At 41.8% G+C, this 19,295-nt stretch overlaps 1 protein-coding gene across 2 annotated transcripts in view, besides 3 other annotated features; it reads right to left on the reverse strand.

The window, feature by feature from the left end:
- The window catches only part of RERE (arginine-glutamic acid dipeptide repeats), a 465,237-nt gene that overhangs the window by 367,438 nt on the left and 78,504 nt on the right, over nt 1-19,295 (reverse strand). The window lies entirely within an intron of this gene.
- Nucleotides 1,258-1,498: a silencer, noted in NCBI's record as "fragment chr1:8781158-8781398 (GRCh37/hg19 assembly coordinates)". NCBI's record gives its function as "represses an EF-1alpha promoter that drives an FKBP-Casp9 reporter gene in an ReSE screen in K562 erythroleukemia cells {active_cell/tissue: K562}" and the evidence as "EXISTENCE:reporter gene assay evidence [ECO:0000049][PMID:32094911]".
- Nucleotides 10,571-11,070: an enhancer, noted in NCBI's record as "H3K4me1 hESC enhancer chr1:8790471-8790970 (GRCh37/hg19 assembly coordinates)". NCBI's record gives its function as "activates a minimal SCP1, AML or CMV promoter by ChIP-STARR-seq in primed H9 embryonic stem cells {active_cell/tissue: H9 hESC(primed)}" and the evidence as "EXISTENCE:reporter gene assay evidence [ECO:0000049][PMID:30033119]".
- Nucleotides 12,053-12,222: a silencer, noted in NCBI's record as "fragment chr1:8791953-8792122 (GRCh37/hg19 assembly coordinates)". NCBI's record gives its function as "represses an EF-1alpha promoter that drives an FKBP-Casp9 reporter gene in an ReSE screen in K562 erythroleukemia cells {active_cell/tissue: K562}" and the evidence as "EXISTENCE:reporter gene assay evidence [ECO:0000049][PMID:32094911]".

The raw sequence follows: 19,295 nt of genomic DNA on the forward strand, positions 1-19,295 counted from the left end.
ATTCTACTGCTGCGTTTCTCACAGACTTAAAATTATTTTCATATAAATTGGTCTTTGCTGCTATATGAAGCAACTCAGGGCATGGAGCACGTTTGATTCATTTTTGTATTCCCAAATCTTCCTGAATAATTTACTCACTCATTAATGGAACTTACAAGCCCTAATATGTGCCAGATGCTTTGGGGCGGCTGAGGCGGGCAAATCATGATTTCAAGAGATCGAGACCATCCTGGCCAACATGGTGAAACCCTGCCTCTACTAAAAATACAAAAAAAAAAAAATTTAGCTGGGCATGGTGGTGCACGCCTGTAGTGCCAGCTACTCAGGAGGCTGAGGCAGGAGAATCGCTTGAACCCAGGAGGCAGAGGTTGCAATGAGCCGAGATCGCGCCACAGCACTCCAGCCTGGCGGCAGCAAGACTCCATCTCAAAAAAAAAAAAAACAGCACAAGCACTTAGAATACATCTATGAACAAAGTAGAAAGACACTCCTGACCTCAAGGGGTTTACATTCTGCAGGGAGAAACAAACAATAACCAACAGATTTTTTTGTATTCTATAAATTTCACACAATATTCAAAGGCAGTAAGTGCTAAGAAAAAAAAGTAGAGCAAGAAGGATTAAACATATGCAGAGGGTAGGTACCAGCTGGAGAGAGAAGAGAGACAGACAGACAGAGTCAGAGAGAGAGCAAGAGAGAGAGAGAGAACAAGAACGAGCAAGAGAGAGCAAGCGAGCCGGCAGGACTAGAACACAACTGAGGGTGGAGGGTGCCGGCAACGGACGAGTCGAGTCCAAGGTCAGGGTAGGCCTCATAGGCCACTGTAGGGGAGTTCTTATAATTGTATAACCCCAAGAGTAGACAAGAAGCACACATCCCAAAATACGTTACTTGTACATGAAACATCCAGGCTCCATTAAAATTAAAAATCTAGCCGGGCACAGTGGCTCACGCCTGTAATCCCAACACTTTGGGAGGCTGAAGAGGGCGGATTACTTGAGGTCAGGAGTTTGAGACCAGCCTGACCAACACGGTGCAACCCCGTCTCTACTAAAATTACAAAAATTAGCCAGACATGGTGATGCACACCTGCAATCCCAGTTACTCAGGAGGCTGAGGCAAGAGAACTGCTTGAACCCAGGAGGCGGAGGTTGCAGTGAGCCGAGATCACCACCACACACCAGCCTGGGTGACAGAGCGAGACTCTATCTCAAAAAAAAAAGTTGTTTTAGTATTTCTCAGGTACCCGATAGGTCATCTTAGAAGGAGCCCACCTTGAAGACACTGCCCTAGGCTGGTAAAACTTGGACAGTTAACACTGCATTCCTCAGACAACTGGGAGCACTGCAGAGGTCTGCTTCCCCAAGCCCCTGAACGACAGCCTGGGACTTCCCTGCAGGCCTGAACACAAGATCTCAGGAAATGGAAGAGTTGAACCGAAAGAGTTTTTGTATTTTTCCACTCAAGACTTTTTTATTATTATTTTTTTAGAAGGAGTCTCGCTCTGTTGCCCAGGCTGGAGTGCAGTGGCCCAACCTCGGCTCACTGTAACCTCCGTCTCCTAGGTTCAAGCAGTTCTCCTGCCTCAGCCTCCCGAGTAGCTGAGACTGAAGGTGCCCACTACCACACCCAGCTAATTTTTTTCTATTTTTAATAGAGAGAGGGTTTCACCATGTTGGCCAGGCCATTCTCAAACTCCTGACCTCAGGGGATCTGCCTGCCTCAGCCTCCCAAAATGCCGGGATTACAGATGTGAGCCACCGTGCCTGGCAAGAGATTCTTAAAACCTCTTCTGGTGAGAAGTGAGGCACCTGACCAGGACCAATGGGATTTGGTGACTTGGTCTCACACCTGCTTTCTCTCTGTTGGAAGGGTTGCTGGCCTCTATTAGAAATTTTAATTACTATCTGGCAAAAATATGTTCTCCTTTCTGACTGCTTAAATATGTAAGATGGGTCCCTCAGTGCTAGCTAACCTCAAAACTCAAAACTAAATCATCTTAATAACATAAACCCTTATCTCTGTCTTGACAGCAGTAACACGGAGCTGAACAGTCAGCTACCAGCATATCTCATTTCATTGCATTTGCTTTGCTGCGCTTTGCAGATACTACTTTTTCTCACCTAGCAAACTGAAGGCTTTGGCAACCCTACATCAGGGAAGTCTACTGGTGCTTTTTGTTCTTTGTTTCTGCTTTCTTCAGCCCTTTTTCTGTCTATGAAGCCAACCTCCTCTACTGCACTCATTGGAATGCTTACATTTATTCTACTTCATAAGGTATTGCCCAATTCTAGAACCACAAATAAAGCCAACTGAAATCTTTAAACGATATTTGTTGTAATTGTGTCTTCTGACAGAAACACAACTCAATCCACGCACAGGTCTTCCTGCCTCAACCTTTGCTAACCTAGCACCCATCTACCTTCCCCTTGGCTATCAAACCAATGTTTCTGAAACTCAATTCTGGTAACATCCCTTTTCTACTTAAAACTCCCATTAGCTTTTTCATCCAAACTATAATGACAGCGATACTAATATTTATTGAGTGCTAACTGTACACCAGGTACTGCTGTAAGTATTATACATATATGACAATATTCCTACAGGATAGGCACTATTATTACCTCCTCTTTTATAAGTGAGCAAACCAAGAGACAAAGGTGTTAAGTAACATCTGTTCAATAAAGCCACAGACTTGGCCTTCATATCCCTGGGTTCCACATCTGTGGTTTCAACCAACCACGGACTGAAAATATTTGGAGGAACAAAAAAAGGATGGTTGCTTCTGTACTAAACATGTATAGAATTTTTTAAGTCTTTATTCCATAAACAATACAGTATAATAACTATTTACATGGCCTTTACATTGCACTGAATACTATAAGTAATCTGGAGACGATGTAAAGTATAAGGGAGGATATGGTCTAAAGTATGTTGGAGGATGTGCATAGGTTACATGCAAATACGACACCATGTTATTTAAAGAACTTGAATGTGTGTGGATTTTGGTACCCACCGATGGTCCTGGAACCAATCCCCCACGAATACTGAGAGAGGACTATGTAGTTAGTTTCAGAACCTGCATTTAAACTCAGGCTCTATACCTCAAAATAAAAAGCTATTTGACATGGAAATTCAATTAATCAACAGAGTTGTCTTTGACCCTCTACCTATCAAAAACTACTGACAGCACAAACGATTCAGAACTTTCAACAGAGAAAAGAGAAGGTGTCCAGAAAGGAATGCTGAGTCTCTCTTAACACAGCTATCAAATCCTGAATGCCTCACAAACATCAGATCAGCCATCCATCACCAAAATGGGAGGGGGAGGTAGGAATCGAAACTGCAGAATGACAACAAAGAAGAATAAAATCTAACAACTCAGCAACAATATACCCTCAGGTTAGAGATAAGGAAGAATAAACAATTCAGTCTGAAAGGACTTCTACCAAGAAGAGATTAGTAATTAGACTGAATGGCTGTGGTTCAATATAAAGTATAGAAATGCAATTTTTTTCCCTCTAAACAGAACATAGGCACAACCCCAGAAGTTACTCAAGAGGGCTTTAAAAAAGAAAACAAACTCTAAAACAAAGAGTATCTTTAAACACTAATCATTGTTTTTTTTTCTAAAATCACTATTAGAACACTACCTGACAAGGTCTTTAAAGGGTTCACTGTTGATTAAGCCATTTTCATGGCCTAGTAAGTTTGAGTTCTATTAATTCAGACTGTGCTATGTACACTGAAATTTTGTCTTAGGCAGGCTCAACAGAACAGTTCTTCAAATTAAGCAAGTGCTTAATGTTAGGTAGAAAAAATATGTCGCTGTGAAATATATACTGTCCAAGTACTATTTGGTGCCAACAAAAGCTAACAAACAGGCTGTGTTTTTAAGTCTAAGCAGAAGAAAAGTAACCACTACCTGTACAGAATACAGTTCGGCTCTTTCAGTATTTCAGATAAAAAGAAGGACTGAAACCAGAAACAACCTACTTTCTAGCTCTGAATTACCATCATCACATTGTATAAATCATTAGGTGGGGACAGAATACACCAAAATAGAAATCACAAGCTGAAAGAGCCTTGAATTCCTTCCCTTAAATGAAGCTCTTATATCAAATGAATCTATATAGTCTCTGTGTGTTCCAGCATTTTGTCAACTTGTAAATCAAAGATTTTGTTCCATAGCCCTTCTCAATTTTCTACATTTAACATCTGACAAAAACCAGCTTTTATCTTTACCAAAGATATTCTATCCCTAGAAAGTCACTATTTAAAATGATGTCATTTATATCATGTAACATATTAAGAAATACATTTATTTTATTTTTGGTAGTAACAAAACAACCCTGGATATTTGCATAAATTAAAGCTGTCAATAAGAAACCACTTCTATATGTATCCTTCTTTGGGTTTCTGGCTCAGGGGTTGGCAAAAATGGGTTATACATTTAAATAATATTTCAATCTTAGGTTAAGGAAAATTTCTCCTGTATATTTCAAGATACAGAGAGACTCTGCCGATTTACATTCAAATAAAACAAAACGTGAGTAATACTGTCTATATCAATGTTCTGTCACTTGCCAGAATAAAGAAAACATTTAGTAAGTTAGTTAATTTCAAGTCTGAGAATTAAGCAAATATCCCAAATCCTTTGTAAACTCAAAGATTTAGTTACTTTCTCTACATATTACACAGCTGCTTTAAAATTTTACCTTCTGGCCGGGCGCGGTGGCTCACGCTTGTAATCCCAGCACTTCGGGAGGCTGAGGTGGGCAGATCACGAGCTCAGGAGTTCAAGACCAGCGACCCCGTCGCTACTAAAAATACAAAAATTAGCTGGGTGTGGTGGCGAGCACCTGTAATCCCAGCTACTCAGGAGGCTGAGGCAGGAGAATCCCTTGAACCCGGGAGGTGGACACTGCAGTGAGCTGAGATTGCACCACTGCACTCCAGCCTGGGCGACAGAGCTAGACTCCATCTCAAAACAAAAGAAAAAAAAAATTTACCTTTTATTTCTAGATACTTTGTAAAAAAAAAAAAAAACAACTCAACCTTCTTTCCTAGAAACTTTCTAATTAACTTTCTACTTTTTTCGTTAAGAAAACTCCTTTAGTTTACACACCAATTCTGTATAAATTAAAAACACACAATTTCAGGTGAAAGTTCTAATGAGTAGTGTATATTTTGAAAACACGAATGCTTATTTTACATTACTCTGTGATTAGAATGAAAAAAACATAGATGCACAAGTGGTGACAGAAGTAAACCTAATACTCAATAACAATAATCAAAGGCAATACATGATACTCGTTCCTGTCTCACTAGTGCACATTAGTTTTAACATTACTGAAAGATGTGGGAAACTCAGTATTTTCTAAAACTCCTGATTTATTTCCAAAGGAAAAATAGTTGTAACTACGTCAAAATAACTATTTTGGCCGGATGCGGTGGCTCACGCCTGTAATCCCAGCACTTTGGGAGGCCAAGGTGGGCGGATCTCTTGAGGTCAGGAGTTTGAGACCAACCTGACCAACATGGTAAAGCCCCGTTTCTACTTAAAATACAAAAATTATCCGGGCATGGTGGTGGGCGCCTGTAGTCCCAGCTACTCAGGAGGCTGAGGCAGGAGAATTGCTTGAACCCGGGAGGCAGAGGTTGCAGTAAGCCGACATCGTGCCACTGCACTCCAGCCTGAGCAACAGAGTGAAATTTTGTCTCAAAAAACAAAAATTGCAATTAATAGTTTAAAATATTAAATCTAAATTTATAGGAGATTCATTAGTTTGCCCTTGGTAATCCCCACTTTCTGCCTTGTAAAGCCTAAGACCCTAAGAAGCTCTACAAACTAGAGCTTCTTAGGCTTCAAAACAGTTCTTTCCAAACCATATTTGATGAATTATATGTAAGATGAGTCAATAACATAAGGATTAGATTTCCCTGAAAATGCATAGAAGGTTAAAAATTAGAAGAAAAAGTGATAGGCATAATAGGCTCTGGGTTTTGCTTAATGCAAACGTTCTGAAAGGTTCAACATTAACACAGACATTCACAAATGAGGCATCTAATTTTAACTTTGTTTTAAAAAGTTGTTTAAAAAAAAAGTCAAAATAAGTCAAACTCTTCCCATTTGTTTGAATAGAGGGTACATTTACTTCCTACCCAACAAGATTTGAAAACAAAAGACATATTAGCTATAAAGATATATTCCTTTCACTTAATGCTCCACAAATGTCTGAAAAGCAAACTCAACTCAATTTAGTTGAGTCAATAAGGGAATTCCAGTTTTCCTTTTTTCTTTTCTTTTTTTTTTTTTTTTTTTTTTTTTGAGACGGAGTCTTGCTCTATCGCCCAGGCTGGAGTGCAGCAGCGTAATTTCGGCTCACTGCAAGCTCCACCTCCCGAGTTCAAGCAGTTCTGCCTCAGCCTCCTGAGTAGCTGGGATTACAAGCACACGCCACCACGCTCGGTTAATTTTTATATTTTTAGTAGAGATGGGGTTTCATCACCATGTTGGTCAGGCTGGTCTCGAACTCCTGACCTCGTGATCCACCCGCCTCGGCCTCCCAAAGTGCTGGGGTTACAGGCGTGAGCCAACGCGCCCGGCCAGGCAATTCCAGTTTTTCTAAGACAGTATTGTAAACCAAGCAGAGATATTCCCTAGGGCCATATAATTCTGATACATTAGCTAATCTTTGTAAGCCAAATCAGAGCACTTCTTTCCAAAACTCACATTTCTACCAAACCGGGACACCGTGTGGTGGGGAAAGAGTTCAGAACACCTGGTATATTTTTCCAAAGCAAAATTTAACTTTCCATTGCCAGGAGAAGCATGAACATGTTGACTTATACTGCCCTCTAGAGTCTCCTTCTAATATTTTTTAGCCTGAAATAATTAATTCTAATCATAAGACTCTTCTAATTACTCAAGCTTTCAGTATTCTAATATTGTAAACTGACGTTTATTTATTTATTTATTGAGAAGAAGTCTCCCTCTATTGCCTAGGCTGGAGTGCAGTGGCACGACCTCAGCTCACTGCAACCTCCACCTCCTGAGTTCAAGCAATTCCCCTACCTCAGCCTCCAGAGTAGCTGGGATCACAGCCATGCACCACCACACCCAGCTCATTTTTGTACTCTTAGTAGAGACGGGTTTTCACCATGTTGGCCAGGCTGGTCTCAAACTCCTGACCTCAGGTGATCCACCCGCCTTTGGCTCCCAAAGTGCTGGGATTACAGCATGAGCCACTGGGCCCAGCCAACTGACCTTTTTTCAGTGGATTAGTAGTCTTTTTTTTGGAGGGCGCGGGGTGGGGGGAAAGGAGTCTCGCTCTGTAGCCCAGGCTGGAGTGCAGTGGCGCGATCTCGGCTCACTACAACCTCCGCCTCCAGGGTTCAAGCGATTCTCCTGCCTCAGCCTCGTGAGTAGCTGGGATTACAGGCATGCGCCACCATGCGCAGCTAATTTTGTATTTTTCATAGAGACAGAATTTCTCCATGTTGGTCAGGCTGGTCTTGAACTGCCGACCTCAGGTGATCCGCCCGCCTCAGCCTCTTAAAGGGCTGGGATTACAGATGTGAGCCACCGCATCTGGCTAGTAGTCATTATTAAAACATACAATATTTCAATTACCCACTGTTTTTTATTTTTTTGTTGTTTGTTTGTTTTGGACAGCGTCTCGCTCTGTCGCCAGGCTGTTGTGCAGTGGCACAATCTCAGCTTACTGCAACCTCTGCCTCCCGGGTTCAAGCGATTCTCCTGCCTCCGCCTCCCAAGTAACTGGGACTACAGGCACGCGCCACCACGTCCAGCTGATTTTTGTATTTTTGGTAGAGACGGTGTTTCACCATGTTGGCCAGGATGGTCTTGATCTCTTAACCTCGTGATCCGCCAGCCTCGGCCTCTCAAAGTGCTGGGATTACAGGTGTGAGCCACTGAGCCCGGCCAATTACCCACTATTCTTAAAGGTCAGCAGTACTTCCCCAAAGGACAGGAATGCACCCCAAACAGAATCTTCTAATTTGCTTATTTAAAAAAAGTTTTAAATAGCTCAAACTGCAAAGACTTCTAAAACAAAGACCACTTGTAGCATATATTAATTAATCCATGTAGCCCAGAGTTTTGTCTAGCAAAACCCAAGTTCACACATTTGACCACATGCACACGAACCTCAGCCAACGCAGCCAACGCTCCCCAGAGGCTACTTCTGCAGCTAAGCATCTGTCCTTTCAGCTCCTGGCAGTTCCTGCCTTTTCTCTTGCCAGGCAACCAGAGCTCTAAAGGGATCTTAATGCACTAATGAGAAGCCATGACAACCAAGACCTGCGGTAGCTGCAAAGCACAAACACCAGTATCCACTTTTACTGAGCACGCATGCAATAAGCAATGTGCTAAGGAATCCAAGTAAATTAAAATCATTCCTCTAACCTAATAACTCCATAGGCACCTATAACACACCATAACTTGAAACTTTCTATCATTCTTTATATTTAAGAACTTATTAAAAGGCAGGCTTTACCATGCACCACTGGTAGTATAGCTTGCCTCAGCTGTTATAGTAACTATAGAAGTAGGGTTATTTTCTTGTTTGTTTCAATCTAGAGTCATAAGAGACCATCAAAAAAAAAAAAACCCTATTGAAACCATGTTTAGAGCGAAAAAGTCTATATTCTTTTTAGGGGATTAGTAGTCACCATTAAAAGGTATGATATTTCAATTACCCACAGTTATTTGAGATCAGCAGTATTTCCTCAAAGGACAGCACCTAAAACGGAATTTTCTCTAGGCACCTGTGGTATACCATAACACCAAAAAGCATCCCTCAAAAAAGAAACTAAAACTAAGATGCTATGCTCCATACCCAGATATCTGTTATTACTTCTGAAAACAATCTAAGTAATCTTGGGGATCCCATCCAGTAGATAAAAACGATGGCATCCTTTGGGGCATAAAGTGAAGGTAAGATTTCCACAGGCTCTGAAACAGCAGCTAGCAACTAGGGCCAAGAGACTGCACCTGTTTTTGAAAATAAACTTTTATAGCCAGGCGCAGTGGCTCATGCCTGTAATCCCAGCACTTTGGGAGGCCGAGGCAGGTGATCATCCGAGGTCGGGAGTTCAAGACCAGCCTGACCAACATGGAGAAACCCTGTCTCTACTAAAAATACAAAATTAGCTGGGCATGGTGGCGCAAGCCTGTAATCCTAGCTACTCAGGAGGCTGAGGCAGAGAATCGTTTGAACCCGGGAGGTGGAAGCTGCGGTGAGCTGAGATCGTGCCACACCATTGCACTCCAGCCTGGGCAACAAGAGTGAGACTCCATCTCAATCAATCAATCAATCAATCAAGTTTTATTAGAAGTCAGCTACACCGATTTTTTTTTTTTTTTTTTTTTATTGAGATGGAGTCTCGCTCTGTTGCCCAGGCTGGAGTGCAGTGGCACAATCTCAGCTCACCACAACCTCTGCCTCCCTGGTTTCAAGTGATTCTCCTGCCTCAGCCTCCCAAGTAGCTGGGACTACAGGCACGTGCCACCATGCCTGGCTAATTTTTGTATTTTTAGTAGAGACGGGGTTTCACCACGTTGGCCAGGCTGGTTTCGAACTCTTGACCTTGTGATCCACCCGCCTCGGCCTCCCAAAGTGCTGGGGTTACAGGCATGAGCCACTGCACCTGGCCTTATTTTTTTATGTGTATTTTCTATGGTTGTTTGTCTTCCCACTACAATGGCAGAGTTCCATACTTGAAACAGAGACCATACAACCTGAAAAGACTAAATATTTACTATATCTGGCCCTTTACAGAAAAAGACTGCCAACAGCAAACATCTCCAGCCTTCTCCAGATCACAACTTAAGAGGAATGTCATGTGCATGAGGCTAAGGAGTGTGGGCTGGCTTGAGATGGAAAAGGGGATTATGACTGCTATCCACCCTATACTACATATTAAGAAAATGAAATTATGGGAACTCATGGGAAGAAAGAATGACAGATGCAGCTGATTCCTCCCATATGATGGTTCACATCAGGCTTTTCCAAAGACTGAATGAAGAGCTCTAAGGTTTTCTTTCAGGTATTTAAAAAATCTTATGTAAGGGATGGCAGGGGAAAATAAAATTTTCTATATAACATACTATTTCACTCACATCAATGTTACACTGAAGCTCACACCTGAGATAGGCTGATATTTCTTTCAAAGAGAAGATTTCAAGTAAGCTTCCAAATAGCTATGATAATGTGTATGAATAGAACCAGATCCCAGAATGAACTTGAGGTAAATACCAAGGACTGAAATCAGTGAACCATCAAAACAAATATACTTGTCAAACATACAATACACAAGATGAAATATAATGAATCCCTTTGAAGGTCACTATATGTAGATACAAAAATACAGCTTGAAGATGATCTAGTCAAGAGACCCAGGTTCTAGTCCGGGTTTTGACTCTCCCTGTAACTTAGAAAAGTAATTTCCCCCATTTGTTTTTGGGGTTTTTTTTGTTTTTGTTTTTGTTTTTGAGACAGAGTCTCGCTCTGTTGCCCAGGCTGGAGTGCAGTGGCGCGATCTCGGCTCACCGCGAGCTCCGCCTCCCGGGTTCACCCCATTCTCCTACCTCAGCCTCCCAAGTAGCTGGGATTACAGGCATGCGTCCCCACACCCAGCTAATTTTTGTATTTTTAGTAGAGACAGGGTTTCACCATGTTGGTCAGGCTGGTCTTGAACTCCTGACCTCAGGTGATCCACCTGCCTCAGCCTCCCAAAGTGTTGGGATTACAGGCATGAGCCACTACGCCCAGTCTGGTTTTGTTTTTTGAGACAGAGTCTTGTTCTGTCACCCAGGCTGGTGTACAGTGGTGCAATCACAGCTCACTGCACCATCTACCTCCCAGGCTCCCAAAGGGCTAAGATTACAGGTGTGAGCCACAGTGACCAGCCAGTTTCCCCTTTGTACTTTATCTGTGAACTGAAGGACTAACGCTGCATGAGTGGTTCTCAACCATTCACATGCCTCAGAATCACCTGGAGGGATTTGTTAAAGCAAGGGGTGTTGGGTGCCAGGCTTCATTTTCAGTTCAGAAGTCATCATTCCCATCCTCACAGCAAGAAAACAGCTAAACAAACTGAAATCAATGGCCTTTCTTAGATCCATTAGAGAACTGGGGTCACAGAGCAAACAGCTACCACAAAATTTGAAGGAAAAAAATCACAAGAAAATACAGAGAATCACAGAAAAGATCAGATTACCAGAAGCAAAAGCTACATGAACCAGTAAGCAATACAGTAATCAATACCTGAACGGTAATTTTGACGAACTGCAGAAGACTGAGTGTGGACTAGCTTGAGAGTTAAAACTTCTGGAGGTCCAGACTTAAGAGGGACCTATATAGCTTTTACCTCCAGGAGCCTGAACAGGTTCTTACAAGAACATCAAAGAAAAAAATCCCCTCGTATTTTAGGCAGGGAGAGGGGAAAGTAACCATTTTGCAATTGCTCAGAGCATTCTCCATAACAAAGGCCCACCTGCTAAGAAAAACTACTTCGCAGGAGCTTTGTAGACCTGGGGAAAGGACAATTACTCAACTCCCTCTTGCCTTCTCACAGAAGGGGTGAGGGGAGGAAAGCTAATAAACTCTTCGGAAGATCACAGCCTAAAGACTTACGCCCACTAAAAAACTGAGATTTAATATTAGATTACAGAATGCACTCCTTCCCCAACACCTTTCCACCACATCAACAGAGCTCCAGTATAAAAAAAAAAATGCATTACAACTGACAGAGCTTCAAGACAGACTCTATTTAAGAAGGAGTTCTTAGGGAAACCCAAAGAAACCAGGGGTGGAAAAAAACAAGAAAACTACAGGAAACGGAAGCATCTAACCCACAGCAAACATGAAGCACAGTATGGCATTTTCTGAAAAAGCTAAACATAATGTTTTTTTGTTTGTTTGTTTGTTTGTTTGTTTTGTTTTGTTTTTTTGAGAAGAGTCTTGCGCTGTCACCCAGGCTGGAGTGCAATGGCACGATCTCGACTCACTGCAAGCTCTGCCTCCTGGTTTCATGCCATTCTCCTGCCTCAGCCTCCCCAGCAGCTGGGACTACAGGCACACACTGCCACGCCCGGCTAATTTTTTTGTATTTTTAGTAGAGACGGGGTTTCACTGTGTTAGCCAGGATGGTCTCGATCTCCTGACCTCGTGATCTGCCCACCTCAGCCTCCCAAAGTGCTGGGATTATAGGCATGAGCCACCACGCCCAGCCTGAAAAAGCTAAACATAATCTTACCATACAATCCCACAATCGTGCCCCTAAGCATTTGTCCAACTGACTTAAAAACTTATGTCCATACAAAAATCTGCACAAATTTTAGAGTAGTTTTATTCATAATCAGAGACAGAAGGCAACCAAGGTGTCCTTCAACCGTACTTCATGAATAGATATGCGAACTGTGGTGTTCACTGAGCAATAAAAAGAAATGAGCTCTAAAGAACAAGAAAGAGGAACATTAAACACATATTGTTAAGTGAAAGAAGCCAATCTGAAAGTATACACACTATATGATTCCAACCATAGAACTTTCTTTAAAAGGAACTTCAACTTTCTTTAAAAGACAAAACTATAGAGATAGTAAAAGGACCAGTGGTTGCCAGGGGCTGGGCAAAGAAGGGAGAGATGATTACATGGAGCACAGAAGTTTTAATGGTGGTGAAACTATTCTGCAGGATACTGTAACTGTGGATAAGCACATGACATTTACGTTTCTGTCAAACCCCACAGAATGTACAACACAAAGAGTGAATCTTAAACTGTAGACTTCAGTTAATAATATATTAATACTGCTTCATCAGTTGTAACAGATAAGCCACACTCATGCAAGATGTTAATAATAGGGGGAACTCTGTGTGTGTGTCTGTATATGTGTGTGTGTGGGAACTACTTATACTATCTGCCCAATTTTCAATTTTTCTTTTTTTTTTTTTTTTTTTTTTTTTTTGGTTTAGATGGAGTCTTGCTCTGTCACCCAGGCTGGAGTGCAGTGGCGCTATCTCAGCTCACTGCAAGCTCCGCCTCCCGGGTTCACGCCATTCTCCTGCCTCAGCCTCCCGAGTAGCTGGGACTACAGGCGCCCGCCACTACGCCCGGCTAATTTTTTGTATTTTTAGTAGAGACGGGGTTTCACCGTGTTAGCCAGGATGGTCTCAATCTCCTGACCTCGTGATCCGCCCACCTCTGCCTCCCAAAGTGCTGGGATTACAGGCGTGAGCCACCACGCCCAGCCCGATTTTTCTATAAATCTAAAAGTGTTCTAAAGTATAAAGTTTATTTAAAAAAAAAGAGAGAGAGAGAGAGTGAGTGTTGGGAGTCACTCCTCGATCCTAATTCAGTAAGTCTTGGGACAGGCCCAATAATTTACATTTTAACCAAATTCACAAGTGCTGCTGCTGGTTCAAGAGCCACATCTTGAAACCACTGGGCTACGGCTCCTTTTAGTTCTAAATTTTATTATTCTATTCACTAACATTTTCATGAGAACTGTGGTAACCAGCCCACAAAATGGCCCCCAGTGAGCTCTGCCTCCTGGTATTCAAACTCTTGACAATAATGTCTTCCAAGGCTACGTCATAAAAGACATTGCAGCTTTCACCTTGCTCTTATATGAATCCTTTCTTCTGGAAAGCCAGGTGCAGTATCATGAAGAAACTCAGGCAGCCCTATGAAGAGGTTCCATGTGCAAGGAACTGAAGCTTCTGCCAACAGCCAGCAAGAACTCTGCCAACCTTGTGAATGCACTATGTTGCAATTGGATCCTCCAGGCCCTATCAAGCCTTCAGTTGACTGCAACCTGAGAAGGGACCTCAAGCCACTCCTAAATTCCTGACCCACAAAAGGTGTGTGGGATAACAAATGCTGAATGTTGTTTTAAGCAGCAGTTTGGAGGTATTTTGTTACATATATCATATAGGAGCTTAATCTAAAATATGTATGTGGCTGGGCACGGTGGCTCACGCCTATAATCCCAGCACTGAGGCAGGCTGGATCACCTGAGGTCAGGAGTTCCAAACCAGCCTGGCCAACAGGGTGAAACCCCATCTCTACTAAAAGACACAAAAATTAGCCATGCATGGTGGTGGGTGCCTGTAATCCCAGCTACTCTACTCGGGAGGCTGATGCAGGAGAATTGCTTGAACCCAGAGGTGGAGGTTGCAGTCAGCCGAAATCGTGCCACTGCACTCCAGTCTAGGCAAAAAGGTGAGACTCCGTCTCAAAAATTAAAATAAAATAAAATAAAATGCATATAATATAACTGTTATTGTTGACCCTTCTTGCCTTTACTTTGATACAGCTGGAGAAGTCCTGAAAATGTGTCCAAATTCATTACAAGGTGAAGATCAATTTAAAGAACTCCTCCACATTTCTCAAAGTATTATATTAATAATGAATTATATCATTTCTTCAGGACATAAAGGATTTGGGGTGGGAGGAGAAGGGAAAGGAAGGAAGTGGAAACGAGATTTTCATCATCTTCCCTAAGCCATTGCTGGTCATCCTAGAGTAGAAATCTGAGAGTTTCACTTTATTGCTTAAAATCCTTTAATATTATAGTTTCCCAAAGCTTATGGAAGTGAATCCAGACACTGCTCATTGTCTGCACTACATCTACCAAGCAGGCTCATGAGGCAGCACAAGGGGTGCACACAAACATGGGCTGACTTTGCAAGACCTTGGATAAGTTACTTAATCTCCCTGCCTCGGTCTGCTCAACAGTAAAATGAAGGTAATTATACTACCAATATAGTTACTATAGGGAATTAATACATTAAAACATAAAAAACACTTAAAAGAGGACGTTGCCTAAGTGCTCAATAAATGTCAGCTATCATCATCATCTGCCATTGCATCTCTCATAACCCAGACTATTTCAAGCCATTATGAACTACTGGAATTTTCAAACTCACCAACACTGTTTTATGCTTTTGCACCTTAGAAAAGGGACTTTCTCTGTCTGGAATGGCCTTCCTTCACTTCTCTCTCAATTATCCTTCTCAACTTCCTTATATAGCCTTCTCTGATTTCCCTTTTACTTACCGCATCCCTCATAGACACACCTACAGAGAATATTTAAATTATTTATTATTTGCCTCTCCCACAAAATTGTATGCTTGATAATAATACTTGATACTTATTGTGTCAAGTACTGTGTGCCAGCCACTGTTTTATATTAAGCACTTTACTTAGACTATCTAACTTAAACTTCTTAATAACTCATAATTATCCTAGTTTTATTGACAGTAAAATCTATAACATATATAAATAAAGAATAAGAATTCAAACCTTAGCTGTTTGGCTGCAATTTGTTACAATCTAAAATCTAAGGACTAGGAGGTGGAGATTTCTGACATGCTGAAAATATCAAGGAAGCAATTAAACCTTCCAGCAGTTAGCATAAGTGCACACAGTTTAAAAATTTATAATATATATGCATGGTACTGTAGGTGGGCTACCCCACACCCCCAGTCATATCAGCTTCTTGCTTATACTTTCTGGAGATATTTCATGCATATACAGCATGCACACACATATATGTACATCTCTTTGTTACACAAATAGTAGTATACTTCATATAGCCTTCTGAGCCCATTTTTACTTCCTGTATCTTTGAGATTGTTCCGTGTCAGTCCATACAAAGTGCCTCATTCTTTTTCACTGCTGCAGAGAATTCCACCATATTCCATAATAATATGGTTTGGACTTGTGTCCCCACCCAAATCTCATGTCAAATTGTAATCCCCAGTGTTGGAGGTGGGGCCCGGTGGGAGGTGATTGGATCACGGGGCGGTTTCTCATGAATGGTTTAGCACCATCCCCTCGGTGCGAAGTTCCCATGAGATCTGGTCGTTTAAATTGTATAGCACCTTCCGCCTCTCTTCCTCCTACTCCAGCCATGTGAAGATGCCTGCTCCAGCTCTGCCTTCCACCGTGAGTAAAAGCTCCCTGAGGCCTCCCCAGCCTTGCTTCCTGTACAGCCTGCAGTACTGTGAGCTAACTAAACCTCTTTCCTTTATAAATTGCCCAGTCTTCAGTATTTATAGCAATGCAAGAACAGACTATTATATTTACCATATTCAACCACTCTCCTATATTGTTTGTAGCCTTTTGTTGTAATATAAAATCCTAAAGCAAAATCCTTATACACAAAGAAATGGATAGAGGATGATTCTACAGTAAATATGGTAAATGTATACGCTATAGCAAATATAGTAAAATGCAACTGTAGAATCTAAACGGTGAGTGCAGGGGTGCTCTCACTATCATAATTCCTGCAATTGTTCTGCATTTAAACCATCAGTTTGTTTGTTTGTTTGTTTGTTTGTTTGTTTTTTGGAGACAGAGTCTTGCTCTGTTGCCCAGGCTGGAGTGCAGTGGCACAATCTTGGCTCACTGCAAGGTCCGCCTCCTGGGTTCATGCCATTCTCCTGCCTCAGCCTCTTGAGTAGCTGGGACTACAGGCGCCCGCCACCACGCCTGGCTAATTTTTTGTATTTTTTAGTAGAGACGGGGTTTCACCGTCTTAACCAGGATGGTCTCAATCTCCTGACCTCGTGATCCACCCACCTCGGCCTCCCAAAGTGCTTGGATTACAGGTGTGAGCCACCGCGCCCGGCCTATACTTGTTCTTAAAGTGAGCATCATGTTTTTCTTTCAACTTCTCAATAAATTGCTAATATGAAATATTTTATCAACTTCAAAACAATCCCCAAATTTCAAAAATATAATAATCTTGGAATGTTTGTTACCCTTGGCTTATATCATAGAAGAACAGAGGAGGCAATTATCAGAAGAGTCACATTTCAACTTCCATCATTTTACCCAAGGGACAGTCAAGTAAAGTAAAACTGCCCTAAGTGTCTTATTTTCTTGGGTCTCTCAACACTCTTTTAGGCAAACACTTGGTCTTCACCAAGAACAAAGAGTTATAGGTGTCTGTTACCTCTAGGAGAAGCAAGGGGGAAAAAAAAAAAAAAAAAAAAAAAACTAAAACCTTTGGAGAGTCATTGTTTGACATCTTCCTTCTCAGCTTCCTTCTTATATAATTCCCAGGAGTCCTAGCCAATAAAGAATGGTTTAACTCTTCTTTCTGAAAAAAACAAATGATTATCTTTCTTTAGAAAATGTATTCCTCTTTCCTCTGAAGACTCAGAAGCAGACCTTTCAGGAGAATTTCTGGATTAGAGTGTGCCATTTCAGCCAAGGGACTTCCTCTACCAGGGTCCAAAGATAACACATTCTAATGAATGCTTGCTGGACTGTTTCCTTTTTTTTTCTGACAATTTGAAGGTCTTCAATGAAAGCATGCCAGTATTACCACAGACTTATCTTAGGGCAGTGCTTTGGTAAACCAAATTCAGAAGCTTTAGAAAAGACTAGAAACTAATAAGTCAGCTATACATCCACTTAGAGTTTGCCAGACAGAGAAAAAGGAAAATAACATTCCAGTCACAAAGAATAAATCACAGAGGGCTTTAAGGCTTAATTGCCACGTTTTCCCTCCAAAAGAATCAAAAGTTTATCACACTTGTTTCCTAAATCTCCAAAAATGTGAGTTATTGAGAGAAGAGTCATACAATTTTTAGGAATTTCCATTTCTTCCGTTGTCGAACCTTTGAAAAACAATTGCAAGTTGAAGAGAACTCACATGACCCAGAAACTGTTCTGAGCTCTATCAATGTTCAGGAAGCAGAATTTTTTTTTTTTTTAACTTTTTAAACTCTTTTTGTAGAGACAGGATTTCCCTATGTTGCCTAGGCTGGTCTCCAACTCCTGGGCTCAAGTGATCCTCCTGCCTTGGCCTCCCAAAGTGCTAAGATAACAGGTGTGAGCCACCACACGTGGCTGGAAAAAAATGTTTTCATCCAGAGAGTAAAACTCAATGAAGTGGCACAGCACGCAGTACATTTCAACTTTCCCCTCTTAAAGATTTCAGCCTACACACTCCAATTTCACACTCAATGAAAGCTTAAGCAAAATGTTAGCATAAATCAAAGTTTTAAATCATTTTAGATTGTTAACTAGCAAATGTCCTGCAGAAATTTTAAAACTCACTAAATAAATTATAAATCTAGTTATGAGAACAAAGCACACTGTGGAATATAAGGATGCAGAATAAACAGCTATTCAGAAAGTGTGTCCAATTTTTGTCCCACCCCTAAGTCAAGAGGCAAACCATGACCCCGCTGTGGGACTGGGCTGTCAAGCACTCTCCCTCCTCTGCTAACGCTGTTGCCTCTGTTCAGAAGACCTTCCCTGCCCTCTCTTCACGGGGCAAACCTACACCTCTCCTCCAAGATCCAGCTGAGCCTTTACCTCCTCTGTGGCCCCTGATCAGAATCCCCAAGGCAGAAGTTTTTGGAGCTTTATTCGTGCCTTTCTTTTGTTGTTGTTCTTTTTTTTTATTTTTTTGAGATGGAGTCTCGCTCTGTCACTCAGGCTGGAGTGCAGTGGTGTGAACTTGGCTCACTGCAACCTCTGCCTCCCTGGTTCAAGTGATTCTCCTGGGCTGGTCTCAAACTCCTGACCTCAAACAATCCTCCTGCCTCAGCCTCCCAAAGTGCTGGGATTACAGGCATGAGCCACCACACCCAGCCTATTCACGCCTTTCTGACACCTACCACTCACTATAACACACTTAACAAGCCTCTTCCCATTCCCCACCCCTCAAGGCAGAGCCTGCAGCCCTGGTCATCCTCTATCCCTGACACCCACCACATTGCCCAGCAGACAACAGCACAGTCAGTAGTCCCATTTACTAAGGACTTACGTGCCAGACACTATGCTCAGTGCTTTATATAATATCAACTCATTTCACCTTCACAAAAACCATATGAATAATATAATAATAAACTATAGTATCCCTCCAATCAGTCTTCCCCAGCCTCCTTAGGAGGTTCCTTTTCATGTGAACAGGCTGTAACCTACAGGACTCTATCCTGACCATACTGTCATCTTGTTCCTCACACTCTTCCTGGGCAATCTCCAATCCAGGTCTTTGGAGCTCATTCCAAACCCATATAGGACAGGCACTTGGATATCTGAGTGTTCTGCACTTAAAATTGGTCATGTCCCAAACTCTGTCCATCTCTCTCCCCAAATATGCTCTCTCTTTATGATTCTAACAGAACACTCTATGTCCAGTCATAGCCTAAGTCCAATCAGGAGAAAGAAACTACATGGTAATTTGAACAAGGGAAGATAAAAAATCATTAACTATAACAAAAGATTAATGAGAAGTTGGCAAA

Source organism: Homo sapiens, chromosome 1, assembly GCF_000001405.40.
Source record: "Homo sapiens chromosome 1, GRCh38.p14 Primary Assembly".
Taxonomy (NCBI): Eukaryota; Metazoa; Chordata; class Mammalia; order Primates; family Hominidae; genus Homo; species Homo sapiens.